This window comes from Homo sapiens, chromosome 17 (assembly GCF_000001405.40).
Source record: "Homo sapiens chromosome 17, GRCh38.p14 Primary Assembly".
In the NCBI taxonomy this organism is placed as follows: domain Eukaryota; kingdom Metazoa; phylum Chordata; class Mammalia; order Primates; family Hominidae; genus Homo; species Homo sapiens.
The window spans coordinates 37,680,568-37,701,747 of NC_000017.11; the positions used below are offsets into that span (position 1 = coordinate 37,680,568).

At 47.5% G+C, this 21,180-nt stretch overlaps 1 protein-coding gene across 7 annotated transcripts in view, besides 3 other annotated features; it reads right to left on the reverse strand.

Moving 5' to 3' along the window:
• Positions 5,864 to 21,180, reverse strand: part of HNF1B (HNF1 homeobox B) — a 58,629-nt gene continuing 43,312 nt past the window's right edge. For 2 of the 7 annotated variants that reach the window (NM_001165923.4, NM_000458.4), the window contains exons 7-9: positions 20,416 to 20,610; positions 18,509 to 18,627; positions 5,864 to 6,825 (exon numbers count right to left, since the gene is read on the reverse strand). In NM_001165923.4, coding sequence (NP_001159395.1) covers positions 6,805 to 6,825; positions 18,509 to 18,627; positions 20,416 to 20,610 — 335 coding nt within the window. In that variant the 3' untranslated portion in view covers positions 5,864 to 6,804. The remainder of the gene's footprint in view (positions 6,826 to 18,508; positions 18,628 to 20,415; positions 20,611 to 21,180) is intronic. The other 5 variants (XM_047436630.1, XM_011525161.1, XM_011525164.1 and 2 more) reach the window with 3 other exon arrangements.
• Positions 17,216 to 18,415: an enhancer, noted in NCBI's record as "P300/CBP strongly-dependent group 1 enhancer chr17:36057789-36058988 (GRCh37/hg19 assembly coordinates)". NCBI's record gives its function as "activates an origin of replication core promoter dependent on BRD2, BRD4, P300/CBP, MED14 and CDK7 cofactors, with strong dependence on P300/CBP, by STARR-seq in HCT116 cells {active_cell/tissue: HCT116}" and the evidence as "EXISTENCE:reporter gene assay evidence [ECO:0000049][PMID:35650434]".
• Positions 19,978 to 20,478: an enhancer, noted in NCBI's record as "H3K4me1 hESC enhancer chr17:36060550-36061050 (GRCh37/hg19 assembly coordinates)". NCBI's record gives its function as "activates a minimal SCP1, AML or CMV promoter by ChIP-STARR-seq in naive H9 embryonic stem cells {active_cell/tissue: H9 hESC(naive)}" and the evidence as "EXISTENCE:reporter gene assay evidence [ECO:0000049][PMID:30033119]".
• Positions 20,479 to 20,979: an enhancer, noted in NCBI's record as "H3K4me1 hESC enhancer chr17:36061051-36061551 (GRCh37/hg19 assembly coordinates)". NCBI's record gives its function as "activates a minimal SCP1, AML or CMV promoter by ChIP-STARR-seq in naive H9 embryonic stem cells {active_cell/tissue: H9 hESC(naive)}" and the evidence as "EXISTENCE:reporter gene assay evidence [ECO:0000049][PMID:30033119]".

Genomic DNA, 21,180 nt, shown 5'->3' on the forward strand with positions numbered 1-21,180 from the left:
TACACCAAGGAATACTATGCAGTCATAAAAAATGATGAGTTCATGTCCTTTGTAGGGACATGGATGAAGCTGGAAACCATCATTCTCAGCAAACTATCACAAGGACAAAAAACCAAACACTGCATGTTCTCACTCATAGGTGGGAATTGAATAATGAGAACACTTGGACACAGGAAGGGGAACACCACACACCAGGGCCTGTTGTGGGGTGGGGGAGGGGGGAGGGATAGCATTAGGAGATATACCTCATGTAAATGATGAGTTAATGGGTGCAGCACACCAGCATGGCACATGTATACATATGTAACAAAACTGCACGTTGTGCACATGTACCCTAGAACTTAAAGTATGATAAAAAAATATATATATATATAAAATAAAATAAAACGAAACTACCATCCAAAAAAAAAAAAGGAAGTGTGTAGCATGTCCCCCTTCTCTCTCCTCCTCCTGCCTGCCACGTAAGACGTGCTTGCTTCCACTTCGACTTCCACCATCATAGTAAGTTTCCTGAGGCCTCCCCAGAAGCAGAAGCCTGTATAGCCCACATAACCGTGAGCTGATTAAACCTCTTTTCTTTATAAATTATACAGTCTCAGGTATGTCTTTATAGCAGTGTGAGAATGGACTAATACATCAACCAAATGAATGTCATGTTACTGAAGAGCCTGACATCATATTAGGGATATGATAATATCACATTACAGCATAACATACTACTAAGATGCTTCCTAAGGTACCACTTTAAAGAAAAACCAAGATACAGCCTATGTTTGTGTAACATTGTTTTTCACTTTCTACAACAGCAGGGTTTATTTTTATTTTTATTTTTTATTTTATTTTATTTTTTTTTGAGACAGGGTCTCGCTCTGTTGCCCAGGCTGGAGTGCAGTGGTGCAATCTTGGCTCACTGCAGCCTTGACCTCCTCAAGCAATCCTCTTGCCTTAGCTTTCTGAGTAGCTGGGACCACAGGTGCACGCCACCATACCTGGATTTTCTTAATTTTTAGTGGAGACAAAGTCTTGCTATGTTGCCCAGGCTGGTCACAAACTCCAGGGTTCAAGAGATCCTCTTGCCTTGGCCTCCCAAAGTGCTGGGATTATGGGTGTGAGCTACCACACCTGGCCAACAACACTAATTTCTATTTCCTACTTTGTTTAGGGCCCAAATCTTGGAATTATTTTTTATCACTCTTTCTCACATTCTACATCTAAACCAACAGGAAATCCTGGTATCTTCAAATCCTGTACCTTCAAAATACAGAATCAGATCAGCTCTCATCACCTATGCTTAGATTATGGCAACAACTTCCTGATAATCTCTTTGCTGTCACTGTTGGCACTCCCTTCCCCAAAATCTCAGCAATCAGAGGGATCCTTTTAAAACAGAAGTCGTATCTTGTCCTTGCTGTATTCAAAATTCTCTGCTGGCTCCCAGCTCACACAAAGTAAAAGCCAAAGTTCTTACACCAGTTGGCCGAAGTGCTTACAAATGGTCACAAGGCCCTTTGTCATTGTGCCCCTGCACCTGTTTATCTCTGTGAACCAGAACTATCCCTCTCTCTCTGCTCTAGTGGCTCTGCTATATGTTTCTCTTCCTGCCCCAGGGCCTTTGCACTTGCTATTACCTCTGCCTGGAATGCTCTCCTCCTAGATGTCCATATGGCTGACTCAGCAGCCTTAGGGCTCTCAGACGTCACGTTCTCAGTGGCCACTCTCTTCTTCCTTGTCCATACTGTTTAAAATGGCTACCAGGCTGGGCACAGTGGCTCATGCCTGTAATCCCAGCACTTAGGGAGGCCAAGGTAGGCAGATCACCTGAGGTCAGGAGTTCCAGACCAGCCTGGCCAACATGGCAAAACCCATGTTTAGTCTCTACTAAAAAATACAAAAATTAGCCGGGCATGGTAGCGTGTGCTTGTAGTTCCAGCTACTCAGGAGGCTGAGGCAGGAGAATTGCTTGAACCCGGGAGGTGGAGGTTGCAGTGTGCCGATATCGTGTCACCGTACTCCAGCCTGGGCCACAGAGTGAGACTCTGTCTCAAAAAAAAATTAAAAATAAATAAATAAAAATAAATGGCTACCCCTAGTATCTCCTTTACCTGCTATAATTTGCATAGATTTTTTTTTTTTTTTTTTTTGAGACGGAGTTCACTCTTGTTGCCCAGGCTGGAGTGCAACGGCACGATCTCTGCTCACCACAACCTCCGCCTCCCGGGTTCAAGCGCTTCTCCTGCCTCAGCCTCCCGAATAGCTGGGATTACAGGCATGTGCCACCATGCCTGGCTAATTTTGTATTTTTAGTAGAGACAGGGTTTCCCCATATTGGTCAGGCTGGTCTCAAACTCCTGACCTCAGGTGATCCGCCTGCCTCGGCCTCCCAAAGTGCTGGGATTACAGGCATGAGCCACTGCGCCCGGCCAATTTGCATAGATTTTTAAAATCATCTGACACACACACATACACATACATATATTCACACATTTATTTGTTATCTCCCTGACTAGAATGTAGGGTTCATGAAGGTAAGGATTTTTATCTATTTGGTCTACTGATAGATCTCCAGTGTCTAGAACGATAGTACCTGACATGCAGTAAGTGCCAGTAAGTATTTCTTGAATAAATGAAGGGGAAATATTATTTTGAATTATGTATTTACAAAAGCAAAGATATACACAGAAGATCTTGTAATGGCTCAGGAAATCAGACATGTTTTCCTTATACTGGTATTTTTTGGTCTTTTTAAAAAATTAGCTTTATCCATTTATTACCTTCAACCTTCATAATTAATTGGGGATAATCTAATATATCAGTTCATTAATGATGTCAAGACAATATGGCACAGGAAAGAAATCTTTCTTTGGGGAATATAACAGTGTGTATCTGGTGAAAAAATAAAAGACGGGGGAAAGAAACATCTTGTTTTTGTGTTGCGTGATCTGTTGGCGTAAACGTACATATGCAGATCGTGTGAAGCCTGCTTTGGTGTTTCCTGCTTTTGATGTGGTCCCCCTCATATTTGCTTTGCAGGTTCTCCCTTAGAAAGTGTTTTCTCTATAGGCATGCACCCAGGAAAAAGGAACGTTCATCCAGGCACGTGCAAAGTCCTGCAAACTCTAAAGATTCATTTGTAAAATAGTCATGTTATAAATCTCGGCAGACAATCCAGTATTTGTCCAGCTAGAATGACCTCTGCACCCAGGAGAAGAGGAGGAGGGAGGGGGGTGGGGAGGAAGGGCCTAACAGGCACTTGGTTCAGCTGATTGCAATTTCTCATAAATATTCAGCCTGTGTGATGCTGTTGGGATGTGTTTGAAGCATTAAGGCATGGATATGTCATATCTCATTTTCCAGAGCAGCTTTGGATGGCGTGTTTGAATTAATTCCTAAGTCAAAGGGGACACCTTGACCCTGATTTTCCTTGGACAGAAGTTAGCTCCCACCTCTTCCTGACCCTCACTCTTCCTTGCTCACTGGATTCCTCCATGATCCCCAACCCACTTTTTAGAACACAAAGCCAGTTTTAGTTCCATCTTCCCAGTGCTCTCTGTGGCCCTCCCACTCATATAAGATCATCACATTTTATCTTCTTCTTTTCCTAAGGAGGACAAAGACTCTCTCCAGTGAAGCCTTTCTCTTCTCCTCAGGCCTCTCCTTCCTGACTCAGCCTTGGTTTACCACTGAGATTTGCCATATACCATACAGAAGAACAAAAACGTTACCAATTATTGGCAGGTTTTTTTTGTTTTTTTGTTTTTTTTTTAACCAAACGTCAAGTTGGTGATGAAGTTATCTGGAAATGTCAACCAAACCCAGAAGACTACACAAGACTACAGGAGAAGGCACTCTGGGGTGAGATGATACTAACACACAATACCCATTGTATATACAGTTCTAAGTGTTTAACATATATTAACCCTCTTACTTCTCAAACAATCTAATAAAGTAGGTACTACCATTATCATTCCTGTTTCACATAGCAGGACACTAAGGGCCAGGGAGGTTAAATGGTGGAGTTGGAGATTCTGATCAAGGAATTTTGGCTCCAAAGGTAATTCAAAGACTTGCCCCCAACTGTGGGCCAAGAGCTCAGATTCCCTGACTGTCTGCATTGTATTCTTTCTTATCTACCTGAATTCAGCAGCTAACACTGCGTTATCTCTGCCTTTGGTGGAATACCCCATAACTGGTTAGCATGGAAAAGTTTAATACAGTTTAAGGCGAGTTTTCAGTACTGGTTTTATTTCCTATCCATGGATGTTAAAATGAAATTTGCCTTCCTCAGGCTCACCCTAGAAAGTGACAGCTGGCTCTGATAAAAATGGAACCATCTGTCTGTGAGCCTGGGGTCAGGGTATGAAAAGACACCCTGGAGATTGTTGGTCCATCAGGTGGTGGGAGGAAGGTGTGGGGGTTGAAGCTTGCCAATGAATCTTCAGAGTGTGTGATTCCCCTTGGCCCTTGTATAGCCAGTGGAGGGAGGTCCCTGTTTGATTTAGAAAGGTGAAGCTAACCATCCTTGGGGCTCTCAGTTGCCAGGGTCAGCTGTCTACATATCTTCGTTCAAATAGGATTTCGTTAGGAAAACTCTCTAGAGACTGTCCCCAACCCAGCCATCCTCCCTCTCTTCCATCTACACCTCTGCCCAGATGACCTGTTAGATAAATATGACCTTCTGGGTTTTCAGGGTCTAAATGCAAGATCTAAAATCTATCAAAAGCAGATGCTTGCTTTTCTAGAAACAACACGAGTCCAGATATAGGGCTTCAATTGGGGCTGGAGCTTGAGGCCTATGTTCCTTTCCTCTTCCCGGAGCTCACAGGAGCCATCCAACAGGACAGCTCAGCTAATGAAAGGGGATCTTGGCCTCTCTCCATATGCAGTGCTCGGCCTTGTCCTCAGCCCTCCTCAACCCAGTCATGAACTTTTCTCTTCACTGTTTCAATCCAAATTACATTGTTAGGGGGAGCTAGGAATCAATTAAAGTCAGTATTTCCTTGTCCATCCATTGCTGCTCTGGCCACAGACTAGGTACTCAGTAAATTTGCCCAGCTCACTGAGAATTGAATCTCCCACTACAATGGGATTTTGAAAAAATCCATCACTCATGGCCTGGTTAGCACAATCTTTGCTTCCACTTTCATTGGGACATGCTCTGCCTAAAAGCGAAGAACCACAGGGCAGTAGGCCTATGCTGTTTGGCAAAAAAGGAAACAGCAAAGAAGACAGGTCCATCCTCCTTTCTTCTGGAGTCAGCACTGAATTATTTGTGGTAAAGTCCCTGCTGGTGGAGTCTCTGGGCCTTTGGCTTTTTACTGTTTGGACTATTTGTATTCCTTAGCATCCCCACCAGAGAGAGAATCTTGGGCAAGAGGTGACGTCCACAAGAGCCCATTCACTTAGTGACTGAGAGCTGTAAGGGAAGGAAAAGGAGGGCAGGAAGAAAGGCTGGAATTAATGCTTTAAATGAGGCTAAACAATTTACCCGCAGAGTTTTCATTCATCCTACTTTTTGTCTGTTTCTATCACATGTCACCCACCAAGAATTGACTCTATGACTTTACCCCTGTGAGTTGCAGGGAAGAAAAGGGTGCTAGCTCCTGCTCTGGCCAGATTCCCTCTGAGCGACTTGTGGAGTCTTACTGGGGGATTCAACTCTTCTTCACCTCAATCAGCAGTAAAGCCTACACAGACACTGGGAGCATGACGGCAAGAGAAGGCCACCCACCTCTCTACACCCCTAGATGACACACTACAGGATCCCAGTGGAGTATACAGAAAATTCCAAGGAGACCAGGGGCCAGGGGTTCTCGGTGGAACCATGGCAGGGAAAGTATCAGAGACAGAAATATGAGACTCTGGGTAGTGATAAAATAAATTGTTTTAATGGAAGGCTTTCTGAGACTGCAACTTTTTCTTCTGCTATCAAACAGCCAGTTTCCCTGCCCTGGGGTTTCTTAGGGAGTGCACGGCTGAGCTCCTGGCCCACAGGAAGCTGGCATGTTACTCTGACACACTACATTCAGCCCCTCCAGGGATCCAGAGGTGTGTCTTAATGTCAGGAGACTGGAGTTAGCTGGTAGTCAGTCCAAGGTATGCTGTCCCCATAAGTGTCCAGGCCCGCGGGAGAGGACAAGGGGCTTCACTTCCCACTTAGGATGTTTCTCCATGAGGGGAGAGGGGACAGATCACTTTTGAAATTTTGACTCTGACCTTTACAAAGAAAACTAATAGACACTTTAGTATTATATACAGGGCAGAGGGGAGAGGACACAGAGGGGAAATTGCACTTAATTACAGTAGTTTATAGTTTACAGCCATTGGACAAATTTACTTCTTTAAAAGAAATCTCAAGATCATTTGGGATGGGGGCAGGGGAGGGAGTCTGTGGATATTTACAGTGTGTTTGGCTCAGTTCAATAGCACATGTCCTTCTCTCCTCATTTCAGTAACAGATTCAAGTTTTCGCATCAGTTTGTTCGATGAAGGATCACAACATAGACAGTACGGCTTTCTTGCTTCCTCTTCGGAGGTTCCTTGTCTCCCACCTCCAGGACAGACAGGAGTCCTTGACATCGTGGGAGAGGCATTGTGGCAATACTGCATAGAAGGGAAACTGGGCTTCGGGCTGCGCCTCCTGAGAGTGGATTGTCTGAGGTGCCAGCAGGACGTCCGTCAGGTAAGCAGGGACCTCTCGCAGGTGCTGGTCAGGTCACTGGGCTTTTCCATGACAGCTGCCCAGAGGGTGATGGTGTGGAAAACAGGGTCCTTGTTGTTGCGCACGAAGTAAGTGGTGTGTGGGCATCACCAGGCTTGTAGAGGACACTGCAGAGAGAGAGGAGAGAGGGTGCTCAGCTGTGTCATTTGGCAGGGTCATGGGCCATTAGTTTGGCTTCTCTAAGGGAGATGATGCCCAACTCAACCAGCAAAGAGCAGCAGGTGGAGGGCTGGGGGCCTCGTGTCTGCTCAGTTCTGCAGTTTTCATGCTGAGGCACACTTCCTGCAGGAAAACCCGGGAGCCGGCTTTCCTGGCCACTTCAGAAGAAAGAAGTGAATTGCTGGGGACCTTGAAGTAGTCTTAACTTGCTGACCTGAATCCTGAAGCTGGGCTCCTCTTTCTGTGACAGTGGCATTTATAGAGTGCTTAGTGTACTTGAAAAGGCAGCTGGATGGTGAGCTCTTGCCTCTCGTGGAAGCAAGGGTCTCTTCCTAAGACCGCTAAGAGCAGAGGCCTCCTATACTAATGCTTCTCGAACTTTAACGGACCCACAAGTACCAGAGAGCCTGTGAAAATGTGGATTCTGGTTTAATTCTGACTTGTAGGCCTGGGGTGCACCTAAGAGTCTGCATTTCTAACAAGTTCCCAGGGTGTGCCAGTGCTGCTCACCTAGGGCAGCAAGGCCAGAAAGCACACGAGAAAATGACCACTCAAACTACTCATCAGGAAGGAGCTTTGCAAATTGCAAAGTGCTTTCTACGGGTTTCTTACTTTAGCATAAGAAACTCAGAGGACCAGGGAAAGGATCCAAAGGCTGAAGGCCTCTGATGCCATCCTTGTGGGTGGGCCAGGGCAGGAGACCCCAGAATGGCTGGAGAAGCCCTCGAGAGAAGCCACCTCACCCAACTCAGGGCAGCCTTGCCCTCCAGTGCCTGGGCCTTATTCATTTGAACTGTCATGGAGTGTCACTGCTTTCCTTTTCACTTCTGGGGAGTCTCTTTTTGTCTCCCTGTGTCTCCTCCTTCCCTTTTGCTTTTGCCGGCATCTAAGGTTCTGCCTTTGACTTAGTGGCTTATTCTCTCAAGATCCCCCCAAACACACACACACACACACACACACACACACACACACACACACTTACACCTACCAATACCACTAAAGGCCACTGTTATCGCATTGATCAGTGCTCCAACCATAACCCTATATGAGGATACCATTATGTCTATTTGACAAATTAGGAAAACAAGGCTAAAAGAGAGTCAGTGAATTGTCCATGGTTTAAGAACTAGGAGAGTGTGGAGCCACAGCTTCAAACTAGCTGTCTAGGTGGCCACTCAGCATGTGCTCTTTCAATCATGCTTGGAGGTGAGGAGCCTTCTACTAAGCTTTGTGCTCTTGGACAAGTTACTCTCTCTGTGCCTCAGTTTCTTCCCCTATAATATGGGAGTTGTTGTGTGATTAGATGAGTCAACACCTGTGGAGTCCTGAGCATGGTCCTTGGCACAATTGTTATTATTAACATGGGGTTCTTCGGCCCAAGCCCCTGCTGCTCCTCAGTACTCTTAAGAGTGGGGCTGAAGGCCTGGCGCAGTGCCTCACGCCTGTAATCCCAGCACTTTGAGAGGCCAAGGCAGGTGGATCACAAGGTCAGGAGATCGAGATCAGCCTGGCCAACATAGTGAAACCACATCCCTACTAAAAATACAAAAATTAGCTGGGCATGGTGGTGCACACCTGTAGTCCCAGCTACTTGAGAGGCTGAGGCAAGAGAATCGTTTGAACCCAGGAGGCGGAGGTTGTGGTGAGCCGATATTATGCTACTGCACTCCAGCCTGGGCGACAGAGCAAGACTTGGTCTCACAAAAAAAAAAAAAAAAAAAAAAAAGAGGGGGGCTGAGCAGTGCGTGCATGTGAGGAGACAGGCTTCTGACCCTTCCACATTCTTGAGACGTTGGTCAGGGTCCTCTGATACCCTTTGCCTCCTCTTCCTCCCCTGGCCCACCCCCACTCTCAAGTCTCTTTACTTCCCACTATCAGCCTTTTTCCAATTTTCAGATTTCAGGTGGAGGAGAGAGAAAACGGCTTGTGACCTTGCAGGTTTCAAAAGAAGAGCAAACAAGAAGGGCAGATAAGGAGACGCCAGTGAGATTCTATGGCCTGTCATTAGGGATGGGCTTCCCAGCTATCAAATGTTTGCTCACATAATAAAATGGTGGCAGAGCCCAAAATGTTGTCAAAAGAACTAGAGTTATTTGCCTCCTTCAGAGTCTAAACACAAACATCTGATAAGGGGTGCACTGTGGTCCCTTAGAACTGGAGGCCCAGCACACGCAGCCCCACGGGGGCCTGGCCCAGAAGATCTCTGAGAGACCGCGGGGCCCTCCGTCTGAAAGGTGTGGTAGCTGTGGCAAATGTGAAGGACATCCTTATTCTAAGAGGATTTGTTACATAATGGTAAGAGCTAACATTTATCGACATCCTACTGTGTGCCAGGCACCATACCAAGGGCTTCACAAGCATCACTGCCTCGAGTTCTTACGTCGACCCTTTGAAGTAGGTGATTATCGTGAATTCATTTAACACGTTTGAGTGCCTACTGTGTACTTGGCACTTTTTTAGACACTGGAGATGCAGCTGTAAACAACACCCTGCCCACTTCTTCACAGGCTTTACCTCCTAGTGAAGGCTTTGAATAATAAACAAGTAAACAAATGCGTGCACACACACACACACACACACACACACACACACACACTACAACTTTAGGTGGAGATGAGCACTCCATAGAAAAATAAGCATAGAGGTTAGGGCAGCTTGAGGAAAAAGAGATTAACTTAGATATGGGAATCAGGCGAGGCCTCTTTGAAATGGTAACATTTGAGCTGAATGAAGTGAAGGGGCAAGCATGTAAAAATGCACAGAAAAAAAGAGCTCCAGGCAGACACCACAAATGCAGGAGTCCTGGAGTGGGATCTCTTCAGCCCTGGCACAGCTAAAGCTGAGCGGGTGATGGAGGGAGGAAGGAGGTGAGAACGGCGACACTGGCAGGGGCATAATCACATAGGGTCCTGTATGTCTCTGTTTTAGTTTGGTTGTGATGGAAAGCTATTGGAGAGTTTTGACAGGGGATTGACATGCTTGATGTCTCTTTGTAAGAGATCACTCTGGCGAACAGCCCCCAGTGGGGCAAGGGTGGAAGTGGGAGACAGGCAAGGGCCACCTAAGGAGATCAGGGAGAGACAAGGGGGCCTGGGCTGGGACTAGGGCAGTCCTGATGGGAGTGTGAGAAGAGGTCAGATTTAGGATGTATTCTGAGGGTCCCCTAGTAGAACTTATTGAGAGACTGATGTGATGTGGAGAGAAGAATCAGGGATACTCTCAGCTCTCTCACTTGAACAACTGGTACCAGTTTTGGAAATGGAGAAGCCCATGGGGGAAGCAATTTTGATAGGATGAAATAGGGCAAAATGAAGAGTTCCTATTTTAGGCACGTTGAATTCAAGAGGCTTATTAGATATTTTAGACATGCGTCTGTCCCTGCCGAAGCAGCACTGGATCTGTGAGTGAGCACTCAGTAGGGAAGACCGGACTGTACACAGAATTACAGGAACCATCGGCGTGTACACTTGACCTAAAGCCATGGGACTGGAGGAGATCACCCAGGAGTGAGCACAGATGAGAAGAGGCCAAAGAATGAGGCCCGGGGCCCTCCAACACATAAATATTGGGAAGATGAGTTGCCAGCTGAGGAGATGAGAAGTGGCCAGTGCCGTAGAAGAACCAGGAATGGTAGTATCCCAAACTCCCATGGAAAAAAGGAGGGAGAGATCAGCTGTGTCAGAGACAGAGGTTGAAAAGTAACCATTGGTTTCAGCAGCATGGAGGGGATCGTGAGCTGGACACAGTGAGGCGTGAGGATAAAGGCCAGTCTGCAGTGATCTCAAGAGAGAATTGAGGGTGAGGAAGTGGAGACAGTGAGGACAGATAAGTCACTTCTATGACCATGAACTTATGTGAGATTCATTGTGGCTCCATTAATTAAAAGTCATGATTATAATTCCGGTTTTACAGATGAGGGAAGTGTGGCCTGGAGAGGTGATAAGTAAGTTGGCCGGGGTCTCACAACAGCAAGGCTTGTGCTCTTCACCCCTATGTAAGAGCACTTCTTTCAACCCCCTCAACACGGGGAAATAAATGCCCTTTGCCACGTAAGACCCTTTTCCCAAACTCAGAGCCGCTCAGGGGTGCTAGCAGGGGAAGCCAAGAGTGACCCAGCTTCCATGGGCTGGGTGTTTCCTTTGGGACATGCGCTGAGTGAAGTATTTTACAGGTCTTCGTGCAGTTAGTCCTTTCAGTGATCCCATGAAAGAGGTATCATTATCTTCATTTTACAGGTGAGCAAACAGAGGCTCAAAGAGGCTAAGACATTTCTCTGAGGTCACACAGGTAGAAAGTGGTAGAATGTTGAGCCCAGATCTGCCTAACTCCCAGGTCGATGCTCCCAACCATCAGAACACTCTGCTTCCTCACCCAGTGAAGAAGCTGGGAGAGGAATAGCCGAAGGGGATAGATGATGAGGCCACCCACCTGCCCCCTTGTCAGTGCCCTGACTAGTTACTGCTCTGGGGGCCCTCTCTTCACCTTCCCATAAACTAGGAAGTCAAGCAGCGGGGAGAGAACACTGTGGAAACAGGAGTTGGCTCACAACCTGCCTGCACTTGTTCTAACTGAGGTCAGTGGTTGCTGTGGTCTTGTTTCCAGACTAGCGGGGCATTGTTGAACTCAGGCACAAACCCACTCAGAGATAACTTGCCAGCACCCAAGAGTTGAGAAGGAGGGAGACGTATGTGCTCTGGAAGGGACAGATGGCAGTAGATGCAGAAGGATTCTTGGCGCGAGAAGTCCCAGCCTGGGGTTCCTGACCTGTAATCCCCAAGGCCCTTGGGGCATGTCTGCCTTGACAACAGGAAGTACTGGGATCAGACAGATACAAGTACAAATCCTGGCTTTAGCCTTATACCTGCATAACCTTGGGTTGTTATTATGGGTGCTTAAAAGTGGATATTGGAAGATGAACGTTGTTTAATGAGTTTGGAGTGAGAAAGCCAGTCTGGAAGTCCAGCTCTGGAATTTATGATCTGTTTGAACTTGACCAGATCCATACCCATCTTTGAACCTCAGTTTTCTGCTTTGTAAATCAGGTATAAAAATAACGACCTTGCAGAATGGGTAAGAGGGTTCTCCAGGAAATGTAAGCTAGAAAAGCATCTGGGGTGCTGCTTGGAAAATGGAGGCATCAAAAAACACGGGTTCTGCATTCATTCGTTCGTTCGTTCATTCATTCTTTGTTATTTACTGAACATCTAATATAGCCCAGGCATTTGGCTAAGCCCAAAGGGTATGGGTGCTTTGACAGGCCCTGAACTATTTGCTTTTTTCCTGGGAAATAGGTGAGCAGGGAGTCTGTGTATCAGCAGGAGAATGGGAAACAGGGATCCGGAGCCCAGGCCCAAGAGGTAGGATGTGCTTGAGAGATGGTAGTAATCCTGAGACATTTTCTTCTCCCAGCCTCCTTTGACTGCATGTAGACCAAGCACTGAATTGGATATTGAAAGAGTCACTAGGCCGGGTCCAGTGGCTCACACCTGTAATTCCAGCACTTTGGGAGGCAGAGGCGGGCAGATCACGAGGTCAGGAATTTGAGAGCAGCCTGGCCAACATAGTGAAACCCCGTCTCTACTAAAAATACAAAAAATTAGCCAGGTGTGGTGGCCTGTGCCTGTAGTTCCAGTTACTTGGGAGGCTGAGGCGGGAGAATTGCTTGTACCCAGTAGGCGGAGGTTGCAGTGAGCTGAGACCACACCATTGCACTCCAGCCTGGGTGACAGAGTGAGATTCCATCTCAAAAAAAAAAAAAAAAAAAAAAAAGAGTCACTGGAAGGGGAGACAACTATCTCCTAAAGGATCACAGACGGGAGAGAAAACAGGGAGGGGGCTACCACTTTGAATACTTGACTATGTACTAGGCATTCTGTTAGGCACATTGAATATTTTGTGAGATGGGGGTGGGATTTTCCCCATTTATAGATGAAGAAACTGAGTCTCCCAACAGGGAATTAACTGCCCAAGGTCACATACCAGGGGGTGATGAAGCTGAAAGTAGCTCAGGTCTGCTGGCGTTTCCTACCACTGTACAATACCTCTAAAATAGCACTGCTCAGGATGTGTCCCTTTGACTCGAGCAGGGTGCACGCTAATTGCCCGGTTCAGTGCACACATCAGCAAGTGAAATGCTCTGAGAAGCCCTGCCCAGTAGCATTTAACTTTGTGTAATCCAGCAGTTCCCCCAACATATTTGACCAAGAAATCCTTCTCTCCCCTCACTCGTATGTCCTTGATACCTAGTGATATGGTTTAGATGTGTGTCCCTTCCAAATCTCATGTTGAAATACGATACCCAGTGTTGGAGGTAAGGCCTGGTGGGAGATATTGGATCACAGGGGCAGATCCCTTATGAATGGCTCAGCGCCATCCCCTTGGTGATAAGTGAGCTCTCGCTCAAGTTAATTCACACAAGATCTGGTTGTTTAAGAGTCTGGGATCTTCCCTTTCTCTCTCTTGCTCTTTATCTCACCATATGACATGCCTATTCCCCCTTTACCTTCTGCCCTGACTGTAAGCTTCCTAAGGCCCTCACCAGATGCAGATGCTGGCACCACAACCTGCAGAGCCATGAGCCAATTAAACATATTTTCTTTTTAAGTTACCCAGCCTCAGGTATTCCTTTATAGTGATGCAAATGGACTAACACAAAAAACTGGTCCTGGGAGTGGGGCATTACTATAAAGATACTTGAAGATGGCCAGGTGCAGTGGCTCACGCCTGTAATCCCAGCACTTTGGGAGGCTGAGGCAGGTGGATCACCTGAGGTCAGGAGTTCGAGACCAGCCTGGCCAACATGGTGAATCCCTGTTTCTACTAAAAATACAAAAAATTAGCCAGGCGTGGTGGCCTGTGCCTGTAATCCTAGCTACTCAGGACTCTGAGGCAGAATCGCTTGAACCTGGGAGGTGGAGGCTGCAGTGAGCTGAGATCACACCATTGTACTCCAGCTTGGGCAACAAGAGCAAAACTCCATCCCCCCGCCCCGCCGCCCCCCCCCCCCCCCGCAAAAAAAAAAGATACTTGAAGATGTGGAAGCAGCTTTGGCAATGGGTAACAGGCAGAGATTGGGAGTTTGGAGGAACAGAAGAAGACAGGAAGATGAAGGAAAGTTTAGAATTTCTTAGAGACCTGTTAAGTGGTTGTGACCAAAATCCTGATAGAACTATGGAGAGTGAAGGCCAGGCTGATGAGATCTCAGATGGAAATGAGGAACTGATTGGGAACTAGAGCAAAGGTCACCCTCCTTACGCCCAGGCAGAGAACTTGGCTGCATTGTGTCCATATTCTAGGGATCTGTGGAAGTTTGAACTTCAGAATGATAGCCTAGGGTATCTAACAGAAGACATTTCTAAGCGGTAAAACATTCATGATGTGGCCTGGCTGCTTCTAACAACCCACAGTAGCTACGGAAGCAAAGGAATGACTTACATTTGGAATGTTGGAATTTACATTTAAAAAGGGAAGCAGAGCGTAAAAGTTTGGAAAATTTGCAGCCTAACCCTGTGGTAGAGAAGGAATTCAAGTGGCCTATGGAGCAACAGCTTGCTAGAGAGATTAGCTTGACTAAAGAGGGCTGCATGCTATAGCCAAGACAATGGAAAAAAGGCACTGAAGTATTTCAGACATCTTCTAGGCAGCCCCTCCCACTAGAGGCCCAGAGGCCTAGGAAGAAAATATGGTTTTGGGGGCCAGACCAAAGGCCCTGCTGCCCTGCACAGCCTTGGGACACTGCTCCCTGCATACATGCTGCTCTAGCTTCAGCCCTGGCTCAAAGAGCCCCAGGTACAGCTCAGACCACCACTCTAGAGGGTGCAGTCTGTAAGCTTTGGTGGGTTTCATGTGATGTTAAGCCTGCAGATGCACAGAATGCAAGAGTGAAGGAGGTTTGGCAGCTTCCACCTAGATTTCAAAGGCTTTATCAGAAAGCCTGGGTGCCCAGGCAGAAGCTTGCTGCAGGGGCAGAGCCCCCACAGAGAACCTCCACTAGGGCAGTGCTGAGGGGAAATGTGGGATTGGAGCCCCACCCGCCCCACACACAGAGTCCCTACCAGGATACTGCCTAATGGAGCTGTGGGAATGGGCCTGCCACCCTCTAGACCTCAGAATGGTAAAGCCACTAGCAGCTTGCAACCTCAGCATGGAAAAGCCACAGGAACAGAGCTGCCCAAGGCCTTGGGAGCCCACCTGGCACACCAATGTGCCCAGGATGTGGGACATGGAATCAAGGATTATTTTGGAGCTTTAAGATTTAATGCCTGCCCTGTTGGGTTTCAGACTTGCATGGGGTGTTACCCCTTTCTTTTGGCCAATTTATTTCTTTTGGGATGGGAACGTCTGCCCAATGCCTGTACCACCATTGTATTTTGGAAGTAAGTATATAGTTTTTTTATTTTACAAGCTCATAGGTGGAAGGACTTGCTCTTGAGTCTCAGATGAGACTCTGGACTTTGAGTTAATGCTGTAATGAGTTAAGACTTTCAGGGACTAGTGGGAAGGGATGACTGTATTTCTCAATGTGAGAAGGACATGAGATTTGGGAGGCCAGGGGTGGAATGATATGGTCTGGATGTGTGTCCCCTCCAAATCTCATGTTGAAATGTGATTCCCAGTGTTGGAGGTGGGGCTCAGTGGGAGGTAATGGATCATGGTGATGGGTGAGGAATTCATGCTTGAGTTAGTTCACGTGAGATCTGGCTGTTTAAAAGAGTCTAGGGCTAGGCATGGTGGCTCACACCTGTAATCCCAGCACTTTGGGAGGCCAAGGCAGGCAGTTCACTTGAGCGCAGGAGTTTGAGACCAGCCTGGGCAACATGGCAAAACAAAAAAAATGCAAAAATTTAGCCTGTCATTGTGGTGTGCGCCTGTAGTCTCAGCTACTCTGGAGGCTGAGGCGGGAGGACTGATTGAGCCCAGGAGGTTAAAGCTGCAGTGAGCTGTGATTGCGCCACTGCACTCCAGCCTGGGTGACAGAACGGGACCCTGTCTCAAAACATAAAAATATAAATAAATAAATAAGAGCCCAGGGCAGGGCCTCTCCCTTCTCCCTCCTGCTCACACTCTCACCACGTGATGCACCTGCCCTGTCTGCACCTTCCGCCATGCTTGTAAACCTTCTGAGGTCTTCAGCAGAGGCAGATGCTGGCATCATGCTTCCTGTGCAGCCTGCAGAACCATGAGCCTTTGAACCTCTTTTACCCAGCCTCAGATATTTCTTTATAGCGAAGCAAACAGACATCGCTATAAGCAATAAATCTGAACACGCCAGAAATGAATTTGAAATTCCTGTTGGAATATAAGACCTTAAAACAAAACCAAAAAAGCAGAATTGCCATCAGGTCTCTTTCAGAACTCACTTCTGACCCTCTGCCTTAGGAACAGAGTTTGTACAAACTGTCTTCACCTTGGGTACCTTCTGCTGTCAGGAGGCAGCACCTTTACCCTCATTTTACTTCACTGTGCCTTTCCCATTCCTCCTTCTCTTTCAACTTGTTGGAAGAACGTTTCCTGAGTGGAATATGGCAAGTGAACTTATTTTTTACTCTTGTTCCTGACCACAAAGACAACAAGAGTGGCAGCAGTTACCGTAGAATTTTAAAGATGGTAGTGGAAGGCAAGTATGTGGAGTCAAAGACCAAAGCCTGAAGGTCCAGCACTAGAATTTATCATCTGTGTGACCTTGGGCAGGTCACTCTTCATCTCTGGGTTTTAGTTTATTTCTTTGTACTTAGGAGGTTGCAGTAAAAAGAAAACAATGAGACAATGTTCATGAGAAGTATAAACTGTAACGTGCCACGTGAGTATTTTTCATCCTTACTGAGTGTAATAATCATCCTCATCATCGCAGAAATGAGTCTATTGCCAGACTCCTGAAATGTCTGGGGACATGGAGACAATGTCACAGCAGTTCTGGGAGGCCACTCATGCAGCTTCAAGGTTGGCTGGCCACTCTGTCCAATGGAGAGGAGAAGCCAGTGGGGGGCTGGTGCAGCGTCTCAGGGAGCATCTTAAAGTATTTTGATTAAGAGACCATTTCCTGAATTCAGACGACTTGTTTCAACAAGCAACCATCAAAGTCAACTTGGGAAAGACAGGAATAATTAATCATGGTCCTGTCTGGGGCTGACCAAGCGGCAGATGGATTGATAAACCTTTCAAAGGGGAAGGTATTCCCAAGGAGGGCCGCTGCGCCTGGCTGCCCCCCTGATTGAGATTTGTGAGCACAGATAAATGTTTTCCCTGCCCACTACAAAGAGTGGGAACTCGCACGGGAGTCGAAGGGCAGGGTAGTGAGGGGTTGTCCTTTCATCTTCTATTGGGTGAGAGAAGAGTGGCAAAGCAGGTCCCACACACCTCTCCCTCTACCCCCAGCTCCAGAGCCCAGCTGCCCTGGTCGTGTGTGTGTTTCAGTGCCCAAGACACCAGTTACTTAATCTACGCAAGCTTGCTGAATCCTCAGAAAAAGCAGATGTTACAACTCTCACTTTAAAGATGAAGAAATGAAGGCTCAGGGAGGTCAAGGTCACCAAGCAAATGGCAGAACCAGGAATAGAACCCACCTGCTCCACTGCACTCTAGGGCTGGAAGGAGATCGGGGCAAAGGAAAGGATAGAGAACCCTGATCCCATGAAGGAACCTCCTGGGAAGCCCATGGCAGTGGATGAAGTGTGATTTGCAGGGCTCAGATGAAAAAAAGACCATCAACAAGACCAAATTCTGAGAGCTTCTGACATGAAGTTCAAGGTTGTCACCTACTTATCTAGTAATCGATAGAGGCCAAACAGTTCCCACACTGCACAGACCCCAGCTACTAAAAGGTCTCATTGTGTTACTCTGGAATCATCACCTGTGTTCAGACATCTTGTCCTGTTTTCTAACTCTCGGTGTCTTCTTGCAGTCCAGCTGTCCAAGCTGCAGCAATGAGCCTCGCCATCAGCTGCCTGTCTACTATTCCATCACCTCTATTCAGAGGTGGGACTTAGTCATCAACTGAAACAGTGACTAAGCCTCTGGATTCCCCACTTTCAGTGCAGCAGGAAGTTGATTCTAAATTTCTTGATAAAACCCCAAGTGGATGCTTACCCCTGGAAAAGCCAGGCTGTCTACTGGGGAGTCCCCATGGGTTGACACAACTGGGTCATTCCCAGAGCTTATGGCATTCTGGGTCCAGGGGAATCAGCCTCAGGACCTCTGACTTCCTACTCACTTTCTCCGCTGACTACTTTGTGGATCCTCAGGGATCCCTCTTGCAAAGCATGAACCTCAGCAGGGGATCTGTCCTCCTGAGCCCTCCTTGGAAATACCTTTTCCATGGACCATTGATCATTCTATTAGGGAACACTCAATCTAAATGCCTAAGCGCTCTATGTCATCCAGTCTCCAGCAACCTATCAAACTTCTGTCCTTGTTTAGTGCTCTTCCTGGGGAATCTGGGGGAGCAATAAGCCCTTTCAGCCTGTGGCCCTTTTTTTTTTGCCCTGGGACCTTAAGGATTCCCTTTGCAAACAACAGGGAGCCTCAGAAGGACCTAATTTCTGGCCGAGTCCATGCTTGCCACAACCTCTGCACATCCATGGCCTTATCACACCCTGCCCACACCCCAACCCCCGCAAATCCTGCTGGCATTACCTGTTTACTTGAAGACATGTTGGTGAGTGTACTGATGCTGCTGGTATCTGTGACCACCATTGCAGATGGAAACCGGGAGGTGTGGGAATACTGGGGGGGTTCCTGCTTGTGTGCGTACACTGGAGAGACAGAGTGAAGACAGAATCAAGGTGCATACACAGGCAAAGACACAGGTACAGAGCCCCCATCCCACACCATAGCTCCCATCTCCTCAGGTAGATAAAAGGGCTGGTGGTTATAGTGGGGATTTCTCATATTAGTTATCCATAAGATTCATGTAAATTCCAAGTCACATAACCAACTCCCGAAAGCATGTGGATGCTTGGCTGTGAGGGAGAGACCACCTGCTCTCAGAACACAGGGCCTACCAGGGAGGCCTCCGGTACGGAACGGGAGCAAAGGTCACTGGCTGTTGCCTCGGCTTGCCCTTCTCATGCAGGGAGGCAGGTTATTTCCTGGTCCAGGGCACCATGGGCTCTCTCTTCATGGGCGGCCAGGCCTGCTGGGCCTCAGCAGTCCACAGGTCGCTGGTGACCACTCTCTGACTATCCCACCCAGGCCTCGCCACTGAGGAAGCCTGGCCAGGTGAAGGGATGGGGTAAGTGGGGAGCACATCACCAGGCTCTGGGAGGAAGGGAAGTGGGGCACATGTGGTCTCAGACTCTGCTACAGGCTGTGGCAGATTTTCAGAAGCCACTAAAATGTGATTGGAATGTGAGATGGTGCTCAGAAACCAGCTCCACAGGCCCGAGTGGGGATTGAGCCCTGAAGATAGAAGGCTGGACTTGGCTGTTCTCCCCCAAACCCACAGCTTATCCGATGCAGCTAGGGAAGAAACACAAACCTCTTTCACCATCATTGCCTTCTAAGAGTCCCTTTATAAATAATCTTTATAATTTTTTATGCTTACCAAACGCAGTTTACCCCTATGTTTATTTCATATTCATAATGACTCTAAATGCATACTATTTCCATTTTATGGATGTAGAGATTGGACTTAGAGTGGCTAAGTAACTTGCATTAGGCTACACAGCTGGTAAGTATCACAGCCAGGATTTAAATCCAGGTCTGTCTGATCTAAGACTAGTGCTTTATACTGAACACTTCCTTGGGGTTTCTGAAGCAGAGAAGCCACGATTCCTCCCCAAACTCCTGTGTCAGGGGCTATAGCCAGACCTGGCCAGAGGATTGGAAGCCTGGGACTCAGGATGAAAGGCAGAGAAACAGAGGATGGGATTGGATGGGAAATAAGTGGTCGAAAGGTAGGCTTGGGGTAGGTATAGAAATTGGATATGAGAAACAGTCTGTGTGCAGAGATGCAGGGGTGGCATGGAGGAAGAAACTCTAATGCCCAGGATGGCATGCCACTGGTATTTTTCACTTGTGTTCATGGTTCTTGATTAGAGATGTTTGGGGTGTATAAATTGGAGGACACGGGACTCTAGAAGATTCTTCTCTTTTAGGGAAGGCAAACAGGATGCAAATTAGATGCCAATTGTGATCATTTGATAATGGCTGCTTGGAAGTTTAGATTGCAAAGGCTAAGTTGAAGTTCACTGGGAAAAGGTGCTGGTGGTTTATGGACGCGATCTTTTCCAGAGGTGTTGGAATGGGAAATTGGCGGTGTGTGTTCCACATGCTGTCTGGCTCCAATTCCCCTTCATCTGTAGGCCTACACTGTCCTCTTCAAACCCTTCCCTGGGAATCTCAGGGGTAGAGAAGAGGACTAGAAAAGGTACAGCAACACTCAAGAGTTATGCTTGAGAAATTGTCTTAGTCGGTTGATCATAGGCAGGGAAAAGTGACCAAGCCAATAAACTTCCGAGAAAGTTCAGACCCAGAGAGGGAAAGTGGTTGGCCACTGAGGGTCCTGAGTGCTCCCTCCCTCCACATGCCCGTGTCCTTACTGTGTGAGTTCTGCAGCTGAGTCACAGCTGCCATGAAGGGCTGCTGGGCCATGTGGCTGCCTGGGCTCTGCTGCATGAGGGGCTGCTGGTGAGGGCTGTGCAGCTGCTGGGAGAACTGGACGGGCTGCAGGGCTGCCAGGCTGCCGGCCACACTGTTGATGACAGGGACACTCTGTGCTTGGGAGGTGTTGAGGCCTGTGGGAGCAAGAGGAAAAGATCACAGACAGCTCCTGGGATAAGGAGAGGTGGATGGATGCCATCATTTGAGCCCCCGCTCAATGTCCCAGTCACCGGGCTGAGCCTGTTACATAGGAGATTCCATGGGAGGCAAGTGTAAAGAAACGGAGACTTGGAGATATTAATTTACTTGCTCAAGTTCCACAATGAGTTGTGGGTTGGAGATGGGCATTAAACAGATCTGATTAAAGCCTGAGAGTCTCCCAGAGTCATCCTGTGACCTCCCAAACTTAGCTCTCTTGAGGTTACCAGGGCTTTGGAAAAGCTGGCTCTACCTGCCCACTCCATCCATGCCAGGCTGTGAGAGAGGCTTGCCCTGGTGCCCGCAGGGCAGAGTTAAAGATGTCCACACTGAGGCACAGGTTATTGCCCAGATCGGTCTGTCCAGTAGAGGGCAGGAGTGTGCAGGGACCCAAATTTTGACTAAAAACAACTTCCATAGTCCCGGGAGTATGAGGTTGGGAGACCCTTATTTAGTAGACTGTACAAAGACCCCCAGAGAAATCAGGTGCCAACTCCCTTGACTGT